A 19,343-nucleotide genomic window follows, 5' to 3' on the forward strand; every position below is an offset into this window, starting at 1 on the left:
AGTACCCAAGACCGTGTAACCAAGGCCACTGATTCAGAAGTCAGTCACAATCTATTTGTGACATGCATCATTATAATAGCACTTACTGACTAGTATTGTAATACCCTGCTCTTGGTTCTGATGCTATCATGTTACACAGCTCTATTGAGAAAGCCTGAGAAGAAACAGAAAGAATGTACTCTTCCCATATTACTTTAGGTTTCAAGGCACCAGCAAGGCATATTTCAAATGCTTGTAACTCATATGCACACATCTGCAAACACACACACTCTGCAAGCTTGGTGTTTGCCATCTTTGTTTATAATGACAAATATGCCCTGCTTTTTGCCTCAATAAGTGGGTCTTTGAAACCAGGGAAATAATCTTGATTCTCAGCCCAAAGAAAGGCTGGGATGTTGTCTTTGCAAAAGATCAATGAGTGGAATCTATTGTTCCAGTAAACCCCTATGTTCTAGTTTACAGTTATAAACCATAAACTATTAACTTCTCCTGGAGTCTTTCAAGATTCAGCTGATAAAATGACAACCACTCTTGAAATGAAACAGCCAATTCCTGATTTTGACATTGGTTAGAGTTCTGTCTTGGCAACACCACCTCCCTCTTTGCTTGCTAGAGACCGAGGGAGCAATTGTGTCACCCATTTGGGCTGACCAACGGATGAGTGGCAGGATTCCAACTTTGCAGAAATGATGTGAGAAACTTAAAGCAAAGAAACTAGGTGGAATTATCCCTCCAGGTTGTCTAACACCAGTCAGTACATTAATTAAATCTTCAAATTAGTTACTGACACCGATATTTTTTTCTGTTATAATGGTCATTAAGGTGAACCTGAATTTGCTATAATATCAAAATGTTTCCAAATCCCTTCTTAGGTTCTTATATTTCTCATAGATTTTCATTTCTAAAAGTCAGATGCTATTTTTCACTTGCCCGTTGAGTGAGACTTTTCCCAACTATCTGAAACTTCCCTGGTTTCCAAAAACTTGCAGTTTCACACACACAAAAAATCGTGAACACAAATTTACAAAAGAGATTTGCGAAAAAGAAAGACAAAAATGGAATAAAATGTAATCAGTTACCTAAGATGAATTTAACATCTGTAACTTTCTTTGAACCACTTTTTGCGGGCTCGTTCACTGAAGGGTTTTGCAGAAAGATGGAGCTGACCTAGTTGTCCTGGGGTTGCTTCCTGGCATACCTGATTTTCACATATCCTGTAAGGAGTTGGCATTGTCTCAGGCAAGAAATTCTATTATTTACCCTCCTTCTGAGGAATTTTGCATTTTACAAAGAGGAGGAAACTCTAGGGGCTTTTACAAGTGCTGAACACACTTGGGGCCACCAGGAAAAGAACAAGAACAAGGGTTAAAGGAAGTTAAAAGCCTGTGGGTGGGTGGTTAAAAAAAATCTGAAAAGGTCAGTTTAAAGTACAGGCAGGAAAAATAGAAAAATAAGAATCCCTACAGAAATCTTACAGTAATATTGGGAAACTCATTTATAGTGAAAGGAATGAACGAAGTCCACCTGGTTATTACTGGAAGTGGAAAAAATATTTTAATCTACTTGCTGTTTATTAAAATTGTCTTACAGCCCATGCCTAATTTTCTGTTTTTTAATGACTAAAGTAATATGTGCATTAAACCAAATTCCAACAATATGTGTGTTAAAAATATTGCTTTTCACTCTTGTACTTTTCATTTTTAATCTTCCCCACTCTTCCTCATTTTAATAACTATAATAACTATAAAAATTCTTCCTATAATCTTGCTACTCAAAGCATGGTCCTTGAATCAGCAGCATTGGCATCCTGCGAGTTTAGTAGAAATAGAGAATTTTAGGCTAGATCTGTTGAATTGGAATCTGCATTTTAACAAGATCCGTCGTCATTTATATGCTGATTAAAGTTAGGAAGTACTGTCCTGTAACACTGAAATTTCACTTGCTTGACTCTATCCTATAGAAACACTAGCACATGTGTGTGTATGTGTATGTATGAGAGGGAGAGAGATATTTATAACAGCAAAAAATTAGAAACAATGAAAATGTCTACTAGCAGGGAAAAAATAAATAAATTATGATATAGTCACGAAGTGGAATGCATTGCAGAGTGACTTCTTCCTTTCAGTCTTAGTCATTTATCATCCAGCTGATGCTTTTGGGCCTATCTTTTCCTAATCAAGAGACCCGCCAACATGTTTTACTAAATGGAATAAGATCTACCATAAAGACATGCTATTTAAATTCTTTAGGGATGAACGTATCTAGAGTTAAGTTTTTCAATAACTTTTAAAAATATTGTATATTATACTACACATTATAATTTGTAGATTATATAACACATAAACATATATTACACAATAAATTAAACAAACGGTAAATATCCATCTAGTATCTCTTGCATCCTTCACTTTCCCCATTTATCCCCAGTTGCTGCCCATTAGCTGACCAAGCATCGTAGAGGTTGACTCAGTTCATTTCAAAGGGACACAGACCTGCTCCCAAATCCGAAGGTGTGAAAGAACCAGAGTGCGTGATCTGTCCGCTAGGGAAGACCTGTTGTCTTCCAGCAGTGCTTCAGTTGTTGCTACCTGGAGTCATGTTGAATCATGGGCATCTATGCAGCCTAATCTATATTGCCCATAATTGCAAGACTGCCACTACTGGGCCTCAACCTTGTCTGGACCACAGGGATACTCGCAGGGCACTTAATCCCACTCCCCTTCTACGTGGTTTCCATGGGTTTCTCGTCAAAGGCTTAGCCACTACTCCTAAAGTACATTTACTGTATCTGAGTGACTGAGTTAGGAAGAGGAGCACCTGGTTCAATAATGAATCCAGGTAGCAACAACTGAAGCAATGATGGGAGAGAACAGGACTTCCCTAGCGACTGATCACATAACCTGTTCTTTCTCAACTTGCCATTTGGGAGTACGTCTGTCTCCCTAACCACATGCTGTTCTGTGGCTATATATTTGTAGACAAAAACGCTACAGGAGAGAACAGCCTCCAAAGAGATACTTTAACTCACTGATTCTCAACCCTACATTACCTAGGGATCTTTATATAATGCTGACAGCCAGGTCCAACCCCCTGAGATCCTGATCCAATTGGGCTGCATTAAAAAACATTTAAAATGATTTTATTTAATCATCAGAATAACTACAGAGGAATAGGGATGAAGAATTGAAGGGCTTAAAAACCTCAGAATGAATGCCCAAGTCTCCTGCCTATAGGGGCCTTGCTATTCCGCCACTCACTCCCTTGCTTTGCAATGAGACGTAAAGTTCAAGCACCAGAATGTTGCTGAGCTCTGGTATGGATTTGAGCACCTGGATTTGTCTGTTTTAGGATGGTGCTCGGAAGTGTGACTGACATACAGCATACCTTACAAGCTGGAAGGGTCTGGATTCTCCATTCAGATCACAATTTGAGACCCATCAGACACTCCTTCTGGGAGAGAGGAAAAAGCACACTGTTCAATACTTTGTCTTAAAATGTAAAGTTAATGGAGCAGCCTGACTAATATAATGAATTTATTTTGATCTATAACATACTGTTTGATATGTTAGAATGAATTTTAAATTAGCTACAGTAAACAGCAAAGAAATGTACTAAGTTCATTCTAGAAACAGCTTTTAAAAAATAACCAGAATAATTTTTCAGTTTTATATGGAATTCAGATACCAGTAGAAGGAGCTATTGTTGGATGGTTCAGTTGTATGATTAGATGCTCTTTTGGACAGGATCTGTGAGCACTGGATGTAGATTACTAAGCCATTTACAATTCATTACTGCATTATAGGTATTAATATCACTTTCATTTTTATCACATCTTGGGGCCAAAAATTTTTTTAAAAGGTCATTTAGCTTTCAGAAACCTATGAATTATGGTGAAAGCATTGTTCTTTCTCTGACTTTAATGTGCTCATTTAGAGAAAAGTTACAGGAAAATACTTTCACTTAAGCTCTGAATCTGACCCTCCTGTAATCCCTCACATAAAATAACTTGTCATTAATGACTTCTTGTATTCTCTGTGCTCATTGCTGATTACATAAATATTTTCTTAACTTACAATAGCATTCAGAGTAAAAGGATGTTTATCGTTTTTAGAATAATAAAACTCCAATTGTAAAAACTCAGGGACTGACTCACCAGAACGATTTAAGATTAGAATTCTTGAATCAATCAGAGAGGACAAGGAGAATTTACCTGCTAAGTGTCAAGCACAGAAAACAGAGACATTTGGTTTTCATTCTAACAAGAATAAAATAAAATGTTGACCTGTTGCCTTGTTGGGTGACTTTCAAAAGATACCTAAGGTGAGAAAGTGGTTAATGATCAGAACATTTTAACTATAGTAGGATAGAAAACTTTGTTTAAAAATGTGAGGGACTCGGCCTGGCACAGTGGCTCATGCTTGTAAGCCCAGCACTTTGGGAGGCCGAGGCAGGCAGAGCACGAAGTCAAGAGATCAAGACCATCCTGGTCAACATAGTGAAACCCCGTCTCTACTAAAAATACAAAAATTAGCTGGCCGTGGTGGTGCGCGCCTGTAGTCCCAGTTACTCAGGAGGCTGAGGCAGGAGAATGACTTGAACAGAGGTTGCAATGAGCTGAGATCACGCCACTGCATTCCAGCTTGGCAACAGAGTGAGACTCTGTCTCAAAACAAAACAAACAAACAAAAAATGTGAAGGACTCAAGCACAGCACTTCTCTAACTAGCTGCTAATTATTTATTCCCCATTTCATTTTCATTACTTAAGAATCAAAGAAAATAATATTTTATTTGTTTTTTATTTTGTGTATTTTTAATTTTTGTGGGTATATAGTAGGTGTATATATTTATGGGGTATATGAGATGTTTTGATACAGGAATGCAATGTATAATAATCATGTCATGGAAAATGGGGTATCCTTCCCTCAAGCTTTTATTCTTTGTGTTACAAACAATCCAATTATGTTCTTTAGTCATTTTAAAATGTCTAATTAAATTATTATTGGCTATAGATACTCTGTTGTTCTATCAAATACTAGGTCTTATTCATCTTTTCTAGCTAATTTTTTTGTACCCATTAACTATCCTTGCCTCCCCACCAACAGCTCTCTACCCTTTTCAGCCTCTGGTAACCATCCTACTCTCTATCTCTATGAGTTCAATTGTTTTGATTTTTAGATCCTATAAATAAGTTGGAACATGCAGTGTTTGTCTCTCTGTGCCTGCCTTATTTCACCTAACGTAATGATCTCCGGTTCCATCCATGTTGTTGCAAATGACAGGATCTCATTCCTTTTTATGGCTGAATAGTACTCCATTGTGTATATGTACCACCTTTTCTTTATTCATTCATCTGTTGATGGACACTTAGGTTGCCTTCAAATTGTGGCTATTGTGAACAGTGCTGCAACAAACATGGGAGTGCAGCTATTTCTTCAGTATGCTGATTTGCTTTCTCTTGGGTGTGTACCCACCAGTGGGATTGCTGGATCACATGGTAGCTCTATTATTAGTTTTTTGAGGAACCTCTAGACTAGTTTTTTTATTTTTATTATTTGAGACGGAGTTTCGCTCTTTTACCCAGGCTGGAGTGAAGTGACGCAATCTTGGCCCACTGCAACCTCTGCTCTCCGGGTTCAAGCGATTCTCCTAACTCAGCCTCCCAAGTAGCTGGGATTATAGGTGTCCACCACCATGCCCGGCTAATTTTTTGTATTTTTAGTACAGACGGGGTTTCACCGTGTTGGCCAGGCTGGTCTCAAACTCCTGAACTCAGGTGATCCACCCACCTCAGCCTCCGAAAGTGCTAGAGTTACAGGTGTGAGCCACCATGCCTGGCCCAAACTGTTCTTCATAGTGGTTGTATTAATTTACATTCCCACCAAGAATGTATGAGGGTTTCCTTTTCTCTGCATCCTTGCCACCATTTATTATTGTCTGTCTTTTGGATAAAAGCCATCTTAACTGAGGTGAGATGATATCTCATTGTAGTGTTGGTTTGCATTTCTCTGACGATCGGTGATGTTGAGCACCTTTTCAAATGCCTCTTTGCTATTTGTATTCTTCTTTGGAGAAATGTCTATTCAAATCTTTGTCCATTTTTAAAATTGGATTATTAGATTTTTTCCTATAGAGTTGTCTCAGCTCCTTATGTATTCTGATTATTAATCTCTTGTCAGATGAGTAGTTTGCAAATATTTTCTCCCGTTCTGTGGGTTTACTTTTCACATTGTTGATTGTTTCCGTCAATCTTATTAGTCAAGAAATTTTTGCTCAGACCAATGTCCTGGAGAGTTTCACCAATTTTTTTTCAGTAGTTTCATAGTTTGAGGTCTTAGATTTAACTTTTTAATCCATTTTCGTTTTATTTTTGTCTATGGTGAGAGTTAAGGGTCTAGTTTCATTCTTCTGCATATGGATATCCAGTTTGCCCAGCACCATTTATTGAAGAGACTGTTCTTTCTCAAGTATGTGTTCTTGGTGCCCAGTGAATGTTCTTGGTGTATGTTAAAAATGAATTCACTGTAGGAGTGTGGATTTATTTCTTGATTCTCTGTTCTCTTCCATTGGTCTGTGTGTCTGTTTTCATGCCAGTACCATGTTGTTTTGATTACTATGGCTCTGCGGTATAATTTGAAGTCAGGTAATATGATTCCTCCAGTTTTGTTCTTTTTGCTCAAAATAACTTTGGCTATTCTGGGTCTTTTGTGGTTCCATAAAAATTTTAGGACTGGTCTTTCTGTTTCTGTGGAGAATGTCATTGGTATTTTGATAGAGATTGCATTGAATCTGTAGATTGCTGTAGATAGTATGGACATTTTAACAATATTGATTCTTTCAATCCATGAACACAGAACACTTTTCCCTTTTTTTGTGTCTTCTTCCATTTCTTTCAGCAATGTTTCATAGTTTTCACTGTAGAGATTTTTCACTTCTTTGGTTAATTCCTAGGTACTTAATTTTATTTGTGGCTATTATAAATGCGATAAGTTTTTAAATTTCTTTTTCTGATTGTTCCCTGTTGGCATACAGAAATGCTACTGATTTTTGTATGTTGACTCTGTATCCTGCAACTTTACTGAATTTATTGATCAGTTCTAATAGTTTTTTAATGGAGTCTTTAGGTTTTTCCAAATTTAAGATCATATCATCTGTAAATAAGGATAATTTGACTTCTTCCTTTTCAATTTAAATGCCATTTCTTTCTTTCCTTTGTGTAATTGCTCTATTTAGGACTTCCAGTACTATGCTGAATAACAGTGGTAAAAGTGGGTATTCTTGTCTTATACAAGGTCTTAGAGAAAAGGCTTTCATTTTTTCCCCATTGAGTGTGATACTAGCTGCAAGTCCTTTTTATGTGGCTTTTACTGTGTTGTGGTATACCCAGTTTTCTGAGGGTTTTTTTTTTTAATCATGAAGAAACATTGAGTTTTATCAAATGCTTTTTCAATGTCAATTGAAATGATCATATGGTTTTTGTCCTTCATTCTGTGGGCATGATGTATCACATTGATTTGTATAAGTTGAACCATCCTTGCATCCCTGAAATAAATCCCAGTTGATCATGATGAATGATCTTTTTAATGTGTTGTTGAACTTGGTTTGCTAGTATGTTTTTGAGGATTTTTGCATCAATATTCATCAGAGATATTGGCCTGTGTTTTCTTTCTTTGATGTGTCTTTATCTGTTTTCAGTATCAGGGTAATATTGTTCTTGTAGAATGAGTTTGGAAGTGTTCCCTCCTCCTCTATATTCCAGAGTAGTTGGAGTAGCATTGGTATTAGTTCTTTAAATGTCTGGTAGAATTTAGCAGTGTAGCCATCAGGCCCTGGACTTTTCTTTCCTCGGGGACTTTTTATTATGGTTTCAATCTCTTTACTTATTATTGGTCTGTTCAGGTTTTAGATTTCTTCCTGATTCAATCTTGGTAGGTTGTATGTGTCTAGGAATTTTTCCATTTCTTCTAGATTTTCCAAATTTTTGACATATAGTTGCTCATGGTAGCCACTTATGAGCCTTTGAATTTCTGCAGTATCAGTAGTCATGTCTCCTTTTCCATTTCTGATTTTGTTTATTTGGATCTCCTCTTGTCTTTCCCTAGTTAGTCTGGCTAAAGGTTCATCAATTTTGCTTAACTTTCCAGAAAACTAACTTCTTGTTTCATTTTTTTTGTATTCTTTTCAATTTCATTTATTTTTGCTCTGATCTTATTATTTCTCTTCTTCTACTAATTTTGGGTTTGATTTGATTTTTCTTTTCTAGTTCTTTTATTTTTATTTTTTATTATACTTTAAGTTCTAGGGTACGCATGCACAACGTGCAGGTTTGTTACATATGTATACATGTGTCATGTTGGTGTGCTGTACCCATTAACTTGTCATTTACATTAGGTATATCTCCTAATGCTATCCCTCACCACTCCCCCAACCCCATGGCAGGCCCGGGTGTGTGATGTTTCCCACCCTGTGTCCAAGTGTTTTCATTGTTCAATTCCCACCTATGAGTGAGAACATGCAGTGTTTGGTTTTTTGTCCTTGTGATAGTTTGCTCAGGATGATGGTTTCTAGCTTCATCCATGTCCCTACAAAGGACATGAACTCATCTTTTATATGGCTGCATAGTATTCCACGGTGTATATATGCCACATTTTCTTAATCCAGTCTATTACTGATGGACATTTGTGTTGATTCCAAGTCTTTGCTATTGTGAATAGTGCCACAATAAATATATGTGTGCATGTGTCTTTATAGCAGCATGATTTATAATTCTTTGGGTATATGCCCAGTAATGGGATGGCTGGGTCAAATGATATTTCTAGTTCTAGATTCTTGAGGAATTGCTAGACTGTCTTCCACAATGGTTGAACTAGTTTACAGTCCCACCAACAGTGTAAAAGTGTTCCTATTTCTCCCCATCCTCTCCAGCACCTGTTGTTTCCTGACTTTTTAATGATCGCCATTCTAACTGCTGTGAGGTGGTATCTCATTGTGATTTTGATTTGCATTTCTCTGATGGCCAGTGATGATGAGCATTTTTTCATGTGTCTGTTGGCTGCATAAATGTCTTCTTTTGAGAAGTGTCTGTTCATATCCTTTGCCCACTTTTTGATGGGGTTGTTTGATTTTTTTCTTGTAAATTTGTTTGTGTTCTTTGTAGATTCTGGATATTAGCCCTTTGTCAGATGGGTACATTGCAAAAATTTTCTCCCATTCTGTAGGTTGCCTGTTAGCTCTGATGGTAGTTTCTTCTGTTGTGCAGAATCTCTTTAGTTTAATTAGATCCCATTTGTCAATTTTGGCTTTTGTTATTGTTGCTTTTGGTGTTTTAGACATGAAGTCCTTGCCGATGCCTATGTGCCGAATGGTATTGCCTAGGTTTTCTTCTAGGGTTTTTATGGTTTTAGGTCTAACATTTAAGTCTTTAATCCATCTTGAATTAATTTTTGTGTAAGGTGTAAGGAAGGGATCCAGTTTCAGCTTTCTACATATGGCTAGCCAGTTTTCCTAGCACCATTTATTAAATAGGGAATCCTTTCCCCATTTCTTGTTTTTTTCAGGTTTGTCAAAGATCAGATAGTTGTAGATGTGTGGTATTATTTCCGAGGGCTCTGTTCTGTTCCATTGGTCTATATCTGTGTTTTGGTACCAGTACCATGCTGTTTTGGTTACCGTAGACTTGTAGTATAGTTTGAGGTCAGGTAGCGTGATGCCTCCAGCTTTGTTCTTTTGGCTTAGGATTGACTTGGCAAGGCGGGCTCTTTTTTGGTTCCATATGAACTTTAAAGTAGTTTTTTCCAATTCTGTGAAGAAAGTCATTGGTAGCTTGATGGGGATGGCATTGAATCTATAAATTACCTTGGGCAGTATGGTCATTTTCAGGATATTGATTCTTCCTATCCATGAGCATGGAATGTTCTTCCATTTGTTTGTGTCCTCTTTTATTTCGTTGAGCAGTGGTTTGTAGTTCTCCTTGAAGAGGTCCTTCACATCCCTTGTAAGTTGGATTCCTAGGTATTTTATTCTCTTTGAAGCAATTGTGAATGGGAGTTCACTCATGATTTGGCTCTCTGTTTGTCTGTTATTGGTGTATAGGAATGCTTGTGATTTTTGCACATCGATTTTGTATCCTGAGACTTTGCTGAAGTTGCTTATCAGCTTAAGGAGATTTTGGGCTGAGATGATGGGGTTTTCTAAATATACAATCATGTCATCTGCAAACAGGGACAGTTTGACTTCCTCTTTTCCTAACTGAACACCGTTTATTTCTTTCTCTTGCCTGATTGCCCTGTCCAGAACTTCCAACACTATGTTGAGTAATAGTGGTGAGAGAGGGCATCCCTGTCTTGTGCCAGTTTTCAAAGGGAATGCTTCCAGTTTTTGCCCATTTAGTATAATATTGGCTGTGGGTTTGTCATAAATAGCTCTTATTATTTTGAGATACAGCTCATCAATACCTAGTTTATTGAGAGTTTTTAGCATGAAGGGCTGTTGAATTTTGTCGAAGGCCTTTTCTGCATCTATTGAGATAATCATGTGGTTTTTCTTTGGTTCTGTGTATATGATGCATTAAGTTTATTGATTTGCATATGTTGAACCAGCCTTACAACCCAGGGATGAAGCCAACTTGATCGTGGTGGATAAGCTTTTTGATGTGCTGCTGGATTCGGTTTGCCAATATTTTATTGACGATTTTTGCATTGATGTTCATCAGGGATATTGGTCTAAAATTCTCTTTTTTTGTTATGTCTCTGCCAGGCTTCAGTATCAGGATGATGATGGCCACATAAAATTAATTAGGGAGTATTCCCTCTTTTTCTATTGATTGGAATAGTTTCAGAAGGAATGGTACCAGCTACTCTTTGTACCTCTGGTAGAATTCAGCTGTGAATCCATCTGGTCCTGGACTTTTTTTGTTGGTAGGCTATTAATTATTGCCTCAATTTCAGAAGCTGTTATTGATCTATTCAGGGATTCAACTTCTTCCTGGTTTAGTCTTGGGAGGGTGTATGTGTCCAGGAATTTATCCATTTCTTCTAGATTTTCTAGTTTGTTTGCATAGAGGTGTTTATAGTATTCTCTGATGGTAGTTTGTATTTCTGTGGGATCGGTGGTGATATTCCCTTTATCATTTTTTATTGTGTCTATTTGATTCTTCTCTCTTTTCTTCTTTTTTAGTCTTGCTAGCAGTCTATCAATTTTGCTGATCTTTTCAAAAAACCAGCTCCTGGATTCACTGATTTTTTGAAGGGTTTTTTGTATCTCTATTTCCTGCAGTTCTGCTGTGATCTTAGTTATTTCTTGACTTCTGCTAGCTTTTCAATGTGTTTGCTCTTGCTTCTCTAGTTCTTTTAATTGTGATGTTAGGGTGTCAATTTTGGATCTTTCCTGCTTTCTCTTGTGGGCATTAGTACTATAAATTTCCCTCTACACACTGCTTTAAATGTGTTCCAGAGATTCTGGTATGTTGTGTCTTTGTTCTCATTGGTTTCAAAGAACATCTTTATTTCTGCCTTCATTTCATTATGTACCCAGTAATCATTCAGGAGCAGGTTGTTCTGTTTCCATGTAGTTGAGTGGTTTTGAGTGAGTTTCTTAATCATGAGTTCTAGTTTGATTGCACTGTGGTCTGAGAGACGGCTTGTTATAATTTCTGTTCTTTTACATTTGCTGAGGAGTGCTTTACTTCCAACTATGTGGTCAATTTTGCAATAAGTGTGATATGGTGCTGAGAAGAATGTATATTCTGTTGATTTGGGATGGAGAGTTCTGTAGATGTCTATTAGGTCCACTTGGTGCAGAGCTGAGTTCAATTCCTGGATATCCTTGTTAACTTTCTGTCTCGTTGATCTGTCTAATATTGACAGTGGGGTGTTAAAGTCTCCCACTATTATTTTGTGGGAGTCTAAATCTCTTTGTAGGTCTCTAAGGACTTGCTTTATGAATCTGGTTGCTCCTGTATTGGGTGCATATATATTTAGGATAGTTAGCTCTTCTTGTTGAATTGATCCCTTTACCATTATGTAATGGCCTTCTTTGTCCCTTTTGATATTTGTTGGCTTAAAGTCTGTTTTATCAGAGACTAGGATTGCAACCCCTGCTTTTTTTTTGTTTTCCATTTGCTTGGTAGATCTTCCTCCATCCCTTTATTTTGAGCCTACGTGTGTCTCTGCATGTGAGATGGGTCTTCTGAATACAGCACACTGATGGATCTTGACTCTTTATCCAATTTGCCAGTCTGTGTCTTTTAATTGGAGCGTTTAGCCCATTTACATTTAAGGTTAATATTGTTATGTGTGAATTTTATCCTGTCATTATGATGTTAGCTGGTTATTTTGCTCATTAGTTGATGCAGTTTCTTCCTAGCATTGATGGTCTTTACAATTTGGCATGTTTTTGCAGTGGCTGGTACTGGTTGTTCCTTTCCATGTTTAGTGCTTCCTTCAGGAGCTCTTGTAAGGCAGGCCTGGTGGTGACAAAATCTCTCAGCATTTGCTTGTCTGTAAAGGATTTTATTTCTCCTTCACTTATGAAGCTTAGTTTGGCTGGATATGAAATTCTGGGTTGAAAATTCTTTTCTTTAAGAATGTTGAATATTGGTCCCCACTCTCTTCTGGCTTGTAGAGTTTCTGCTGAGAAATCAGCTGTTAGTCTGATGGGCTTCCCTTTGTGGGTAACCCGACCTTTCTCTCTGGTTGCCCTTAACATTTTTTCCTTCATTTCAACTTTGGTGAATCTGACAATTATGTGTCTTGGAGTTGCTCTTCTTGAGGAGTATCTTTGCGACGTTCTCTGTATTTCCTGAATTTGAATGTTGTCCTGCCTCACTACGTTGGGGATGTTCTCCTGGATAAAATGCTGGAGAGTGTTTTCCAACTTGGTTCCATTCTCTCCGTCACTTTCAGGTACACCAATCAGACATAGATTTGGTCTTTTCACATAGTCCCATATTTCTTGGAGGCTTTGTTTGTTTCTTTTTACTCTTTTTTTCTCTAAACTTCTCTTCTCACTTCATTTCATTCATTTGATCTTCAGTCACTGATACCCTTTCTTCCACTTGATCAAATCAGCTACTGAAGCTTGTGCATGCATCACATAGTTCTCGTGCCATAGTTTCCAGCTCCATCAGGTCATTTAAGGACTTCTGTACACTGTTTATTCTAGTTAGCCATTTGTCTAATCTTTTTTCAAGGTTTTTAGCTTCTTTGCGATGGGTTCGAAAATTCTCCTTTAGCTCGGAGAAGTTTGTTATTACCGATCATCTGAAGTCTTCTTCTCTCAACTCATCAAAGTCATTCTCCGTCCAGCTTTGTTCCATTGCTGTCAAGGAGTTGCATTCCTTTGGAGGAGAAGAGGCACTCTGATTTTTAGAATTTTCAGCTTTTCTGCTCTGGTTTCTCCCCATCTTTGTGGTTTTATCTACCTTTGGTCTTTGATGATGGTGATGTACAGATGGAGTTTTGGTGTGGATGTCCTTTCTGTTTGTTAGTTTTCCTCCTAACAGTCAGGACCCTCAGCTGCATGTCTGTTGGAGTTTGCTGGAGGTCCACTCCAGACCCTGTTTGCCTGGGTATCACCAGCGGAGGCTGCAGAACAGCAAATATTGCAGAATGGCAGATGTTGCTGCCTGATCCTCCCTCTGGAAGCTTCGTCTCAGAGGTGCACCCAGCTGTATGAGGTGTCAATTGGCCCCTAGGGGGACATGTCTCCCAGTTAGGCTACTCGGGGGTCAGGGACCCACTTGAGGAGGCAGTCTGTCCATTCTCAGATCTCAAACTCCATGCTGGGAGAACCACTACTGTCTTCAAAGCTGTCAGACAGGGATGTTTAAGTCTGCAGGAGTTTCTGTTGCCTTTTGTTCAGCTATGCCTTGTCCCCAGAGGTGGAGTCTACAGAGGCAGGCAGGCTTCCTTGAGCTGTGGTGGGCCCCACCCAGTTCGAGCTTCCCAGCAGCTTTGTTTACCTACTCAAGTCTCAGCAATGGGGGACGCCCCTCCTTGAGCCTCACTGCTGCCTTGCAGTTCAATCTCAGACTGCTGCGCTAGCAGTGAGCGAGCTTCCATGGGCGTCGGACCCTCTGAGCCATGCACAGGATATAATCTCCTGGTGTGCCATTTGCTAAGGCCATTGGAAAAGTGCAGTATTAGGGTGGGAGTGTCCCGATTTTCCAGGTGCCGTCTGTCATGGCTTCCCTTTGCTAGGAAAGGGAATTCCCTGACCCCTTGCGCTTCCTGGGTGAGGTGATGCCCTGCCCTGCTCCGTGGCCTGCACCCACTGTCTGACAAGCCCCAGTGAGATGAACCTGGTATCTCAGTTGGAAATGCAGAAATCACCTGTCTTCTGCGTCGCTCATGCTGGGAGCTGCAGACTGGAGCTGTTCCTATTTGGCCATCTTAGAACTTCCCCCCCTTTTCTAGTTCTTTAAGATGCATTGTTAGGCTGTTTATTTGAAGATTTTCTTCTTCTTTATGTAGGGACGTATAGTTATAAACTCCCCTCTTAGTACTGCTTTTGCTGTATTCCATAGGTTTTGGTATGTTGTGTTTCCTTTATCATTTGTTTCAGGAAATTTTTCAATATATTTCCTAATTCTTTATTGACTTGCTGGTCATTTAGGTACACATTGTTTAATTTCCATGTATTTGTATAGTTTCAAAGTTCCTCTTGTTATTGATTTTTAGTTTTATTCCACTATGGTCAGAAAAGATGCTTGATATTATTTCAAGATTTTTTCAATGTTTTAAGACTTATTTGGGATTTAAAATATGGTCTTTCCTTGAGAATGATTCATGTGCTGAGGAAAATAATGTGTAGTCTGCAGTCATTTGATGAAATGTTCTGTAAATGTCTATTAGGTCCATTTAGTCTATAGCGCAGATTAAGTCCAATGTTTCTTTGTTAATTTTCTGTCTGGAAGATCTGTCTAATGCTGAAAGTAGGGTGTTGAAGTCTCCAGCTATTATTATATTGGGGCCTGTCTCTCTCTTTAGCGCTAATAATATTTGCTTTACATATCTGGGTGCTCTAGTGGTGGGTGCATATACATTTATAATTGCTATATCTACTGCTGAATTGACCCCTTTATCATTATATAGTGACCTTCTTTGTCTCTTCTTATAGTTTTTATCTTAAAAACTATTTTGTCTGATATAAGTATAGCCAATCCTGATCTTTTTTGATTTCCATTGACATGGAATATCTTTCCATATCTTTATTTTCAGTCTATGTGTGTCTTTATTGATGAAATGTGTTTCTTATAGACAATAGACCATTGTGTCTTGTATTTTTAAATATATTCAGTCACTCCATGTCTTTTGATTGGAAAGTTTAATTCATTTACATTTAATGTCACTATTGATAAGTAAGGACTTACTCCTGCCATTTTGTTATTTGTTTTCTGGTTGCTTTGTGGTCCCCTCTCCCTTCTTTCTTTCCTTCCTGTCTAGAAGGAGCCAATATTTAACATAAGAGAGATTAGAGGGTGGATTGATTTGATGAACATTCAATTTTATTTCAGCATCTGGGAGCATTACAGAATTATTTGGTTGTCAGTATGTATAATTCTAGAATTTGATCACATGAATATTATAATCATAATACATTAAAGGAAACATTAATAAAGAGAAGTTGACAGCATAATATTTATTGGAAATCGAATTCAAACCAGGCAGCTTCTGGTTCAAATGATTACTTAGACAGGAGTTGTGATCTGTGCTCATCTTGGCTTAAGACCATTACATTTCCTAAAATAAGTATCTAAGAACATTTTGCTTGTGATGAACATTTACACTGAAATATATATTATGGAAAATATTTTTTGCATCATAAATCAATAATGAAATAGCCTAATTCTCATTGATCTGTGGCTAAATGGAAAGTGGGCCACAGCTGGAGACATGCGCATAGAAAAACCTGAAGCCTCCTGGATCTCGTGGGTTGTCACTTCACAGAGAATGTTTCTGGGCAGGAGCTTTCTCTTTTCTGGGGTTCCTATATCTAGGGAATGTGAGATGAACTCAAAGAAAGCATACACTCTTGTCACTTTTAAAGATCCAAGGTTAATCAAGTCAATAGACTATACTGAAAGAAGACACTGAATCTTTACTGAGTTTCTATTAGTTAATAATGAAGAATGATTAATAAACTCTCAGATGTCAGGTTTGTGAATATTTTTAAGCAATGCTTTCTTTTGTGGAACATTTTACCATGAGTAAGAAAGAGTAATTCCCTTAAATAATCTATTAGCAGCAAAAAAGCAAACCAAAAATTAGCAAAGAATGGTAACAATAACTATGATGTCTCAGTCTAATTCTGTTAAGAGACAGATTTAGTATGCTCCAAGGCCAGAGAACAACTTGAAACAAAAGAAACCATAAAAACACAGTCCCCAAACTGTAAGAAGACCCTAAAAACTCATTCTTCAAAAGCCATTTTGCAGGTCTATGGCTAGCCCAGAGAAGGCAGAGCACAAGCTTTGGCGTCAGGTAGAGCAGCAGAGGTTTAAATTCGATGTCTCACAGATAGTGGCTGTGTAACCTTAGGCAAGTTAACACACTGAGGATAATTTGTTTGTTTCCAAAGTGAGGATGATAGTGAAATTAGAATAATGTGCAGTTAATCATTATTATTCATAGAATACACATTTGCAAATGTACATACTCACTAAAATTTATGTGTAGCCCCCAAATTAATACTCAGCAGTGCTTTAGTGGTCATTTGTGGGCATGTGCATGCACAGAGCCACGGAAATTCTCCGATATGCGAAGCCATATTCCCAGCTGAGAAAGAACAAGGTGTCGACAACATGCATGATGCTCAGCCTTCTTTTTGCAGCTCTCATACTGTAAATAAGCATTTTTTAGGGTACATTTAGTGCCATGTTTTTCTCATTTTTGTGCTTTTTTGGGTGATTTTGCTATTTAAAATAGCCCATGCCTAGTTCTGAAGTGCTGTCTAAGTGTTACTGAGCACAGGAAGGCTGTGACATGCCTTACAGGGAAAATATGTATGTTAGCTAAGCTTCATTCAGGCATATGTTATAGTGCTGTTGGCTGTGAGTTCAAGGTTAATGAATCAACTATATATTAAATAAGATATTATTGAACACAAACACACCTAGAACAAGGTTGTATATTGATGAAAATGCTGTCACCAGAGGCTTGCAGTTCCCTAAACCTATATTTCCCCTAGTAACAATTGTTCAGTATTAGCAGCGACTTTATAGAACATAACTACTGTGAATAATGAGAAGCAACTATATATGAAGTGTCTGTACACTTTGGATTTAAGCCTATTTCAAAATTGGAATTTCTTCCAGCCAACTTGTTGGACCTAAAATATAATGGTATGAATCTGGTTTCTCTCCATTTTCTCAATCTCTATCAGCCCCAACATTATCCTCTGGCCTTTTTTACACGATAGAATAGATTATGCTGCAATAAATTTTTTTTAGAGAAACATATTCATTAAGTATAGAATGTATGTCAAGCACTTTGCTAAGAAATAGATGCCCTGCAGCTGCTTGGAGATCTGGTAAGATAGAGACATACGTATCAGTTCACAACTGAACATGGCCATGATGTGATGGATTATGGACAAAGCGCAGTGGCGGCACAGAGGATGGACCAGCTGAATGGCTTTGAAGGGAGAGGGATAGAGGAAGAGAGGGCTTAATGTGGGATGTGGCACTTTGCCTGGGCTTTATTGTATATAATAACGTTCACCAGGCAAAGAAGGTAAAAGCAGACCAAGAGAAGAGAATTTCATGTGAAAAGACACGAAGGTGTAAAAGAATATCTTATGGTCAGTGTGGCTGGAAGGTAGAGTGTGAGGTGGGTGCAGGGGAGGAGGGAGGACCAGGGAGAGGGGCAGGGAGTGCCTAGAGATGAGACTTGCAGGAGAAGCTGAGACCATATTGTGAGCGCCAGGTATCCAGGATAATTTGATAGAGACTATTAGGCAGATTTTAAAAATAATTTTTAATGTGAAAAAATACATATATTAAAATTCACAAAATAAAAATGTATACTTTAAACATTCTTTTAAAGTGAATACTCACGTAACCATCCCTGGGTCAGAAAACAGAACATTTCCAGACCCCTAGAAGCTTGCTTCCACAAGCTTCTTTCTAACTCCAATCCCTTCCCCCATAATAAGTGTAAACTCTGTAATGAATTTTATGGTCGTCACATCCTGGCTTTTCTTTATGGTCTCACCACCTATGGTAGGCAGAATAATTATCTCCCCAAATCTGAGCGCCCATGTCCTAGTCTCCCGGAACCTGTGACTGTGTTATCTTATATGACAAAAGAGACCTTGCAGATGTGATTAAAATAAGGATCTTGAGATGGGAGAGCACCCTCGATTACCTAGGTGGATCCAGTGTAATCTCAGGTGTCCTTAAAAGTGAAAGAGGGAGGCAGGATGGTCAGAGAAGGAGACAGGAAAACAGAAGCAGATGGCAGAGTGATCTGATTGCTGGAAAGGAGCCACACGAGAAGGAACACAGGAAGCCTCAAGAAACTGAAAAAGGCTAAGAATGGATTATCCTCTAGAACCTCCAGAAGAAACACCATTCTTCTGGCCTCTTATTTTTTTAAATTTATTTATTTTTATTTATTTTTATTTTTTGAGATGGATTCTTGCTCTTTCACCCAGGCTGGAGTGCAGTAACGCAATCTTGGCTCATTGCAACCTCCACCTCCTGTGTTCAAGCGATTCTCCTGCCTCAGCCTCCCGAGTAGCTGGGATTACAGGCACCCACTATCATGCTCAGCTAAATTTTTGTTGTTGTTGTTGTTGTTTTTGTATTTTTAGTAGAGATGGGATTTCACCATGTTGGCCAGGCTGGTCTCGAACTCCTGACTTCACGTGATCTGCTCGCCTCGGCCTCCCAAAGCGCTGGGATTACAGGCGTGGATGGCACACCCAGCGTGGCCTCTTAAATTTAGCTCCATCATACCCATTTCAGACTTTTGTCTTGCCAAACTGTAAGATAATAAGTTTTTGTTATTTGAAGTCACCAAATTTATGGTAACCTGTTACAGCAGCAATGGGATACTAATATACCACCCAACATTGCATCCCAAAGCACTATTATTATTATTTTTTTTTAACTTTCTGTAAGTAGAATCCTTGGGAACATTCTTTCTTGTCTGGCTCCTTTTTCTGCACCCTGTGTCGTTGGACATAGGCGATTTATTTTGAGGCAGAAGAGTGACAAGACCAGATCTATATTTTAGAAGCTGACTTTGACGTCAGTGTTCTGCCTGGGAAGCATAAAGGCTGAGAGGGGCAGTACCTGCAAAGGGCCAATGCAGCAAGCCCAGCAAGAAATGGCCAGGACTCA

General features: G+C 38.3%; 1 long non-coding RNA gene across 1 annotated transcript in view; it reads left to right on the forward strand.

Moving 5' to 3' along the window:
- LOC105373893 (uncharacterized) overlaps nt 1-19,343 on the forward strand; it is a 428,255-nt gene that overhangs the window by 306,237 nt on the left and 102,675 nt on the right. The window lies entirely within an intron of this gene.

The sequence above is a fragment of the Homo sapiens genome, chromosome 2 (assembly GCF_000001405.40).
Source record: "Homo sapiens chromosome 2, GRCh38.p14 Primary Assembly".
Lineage (NCBI taxonomy): Eukaryota > Metazoa > Chordata > Mammalia > Primates > Hominidae > Homo > Homo sapiens.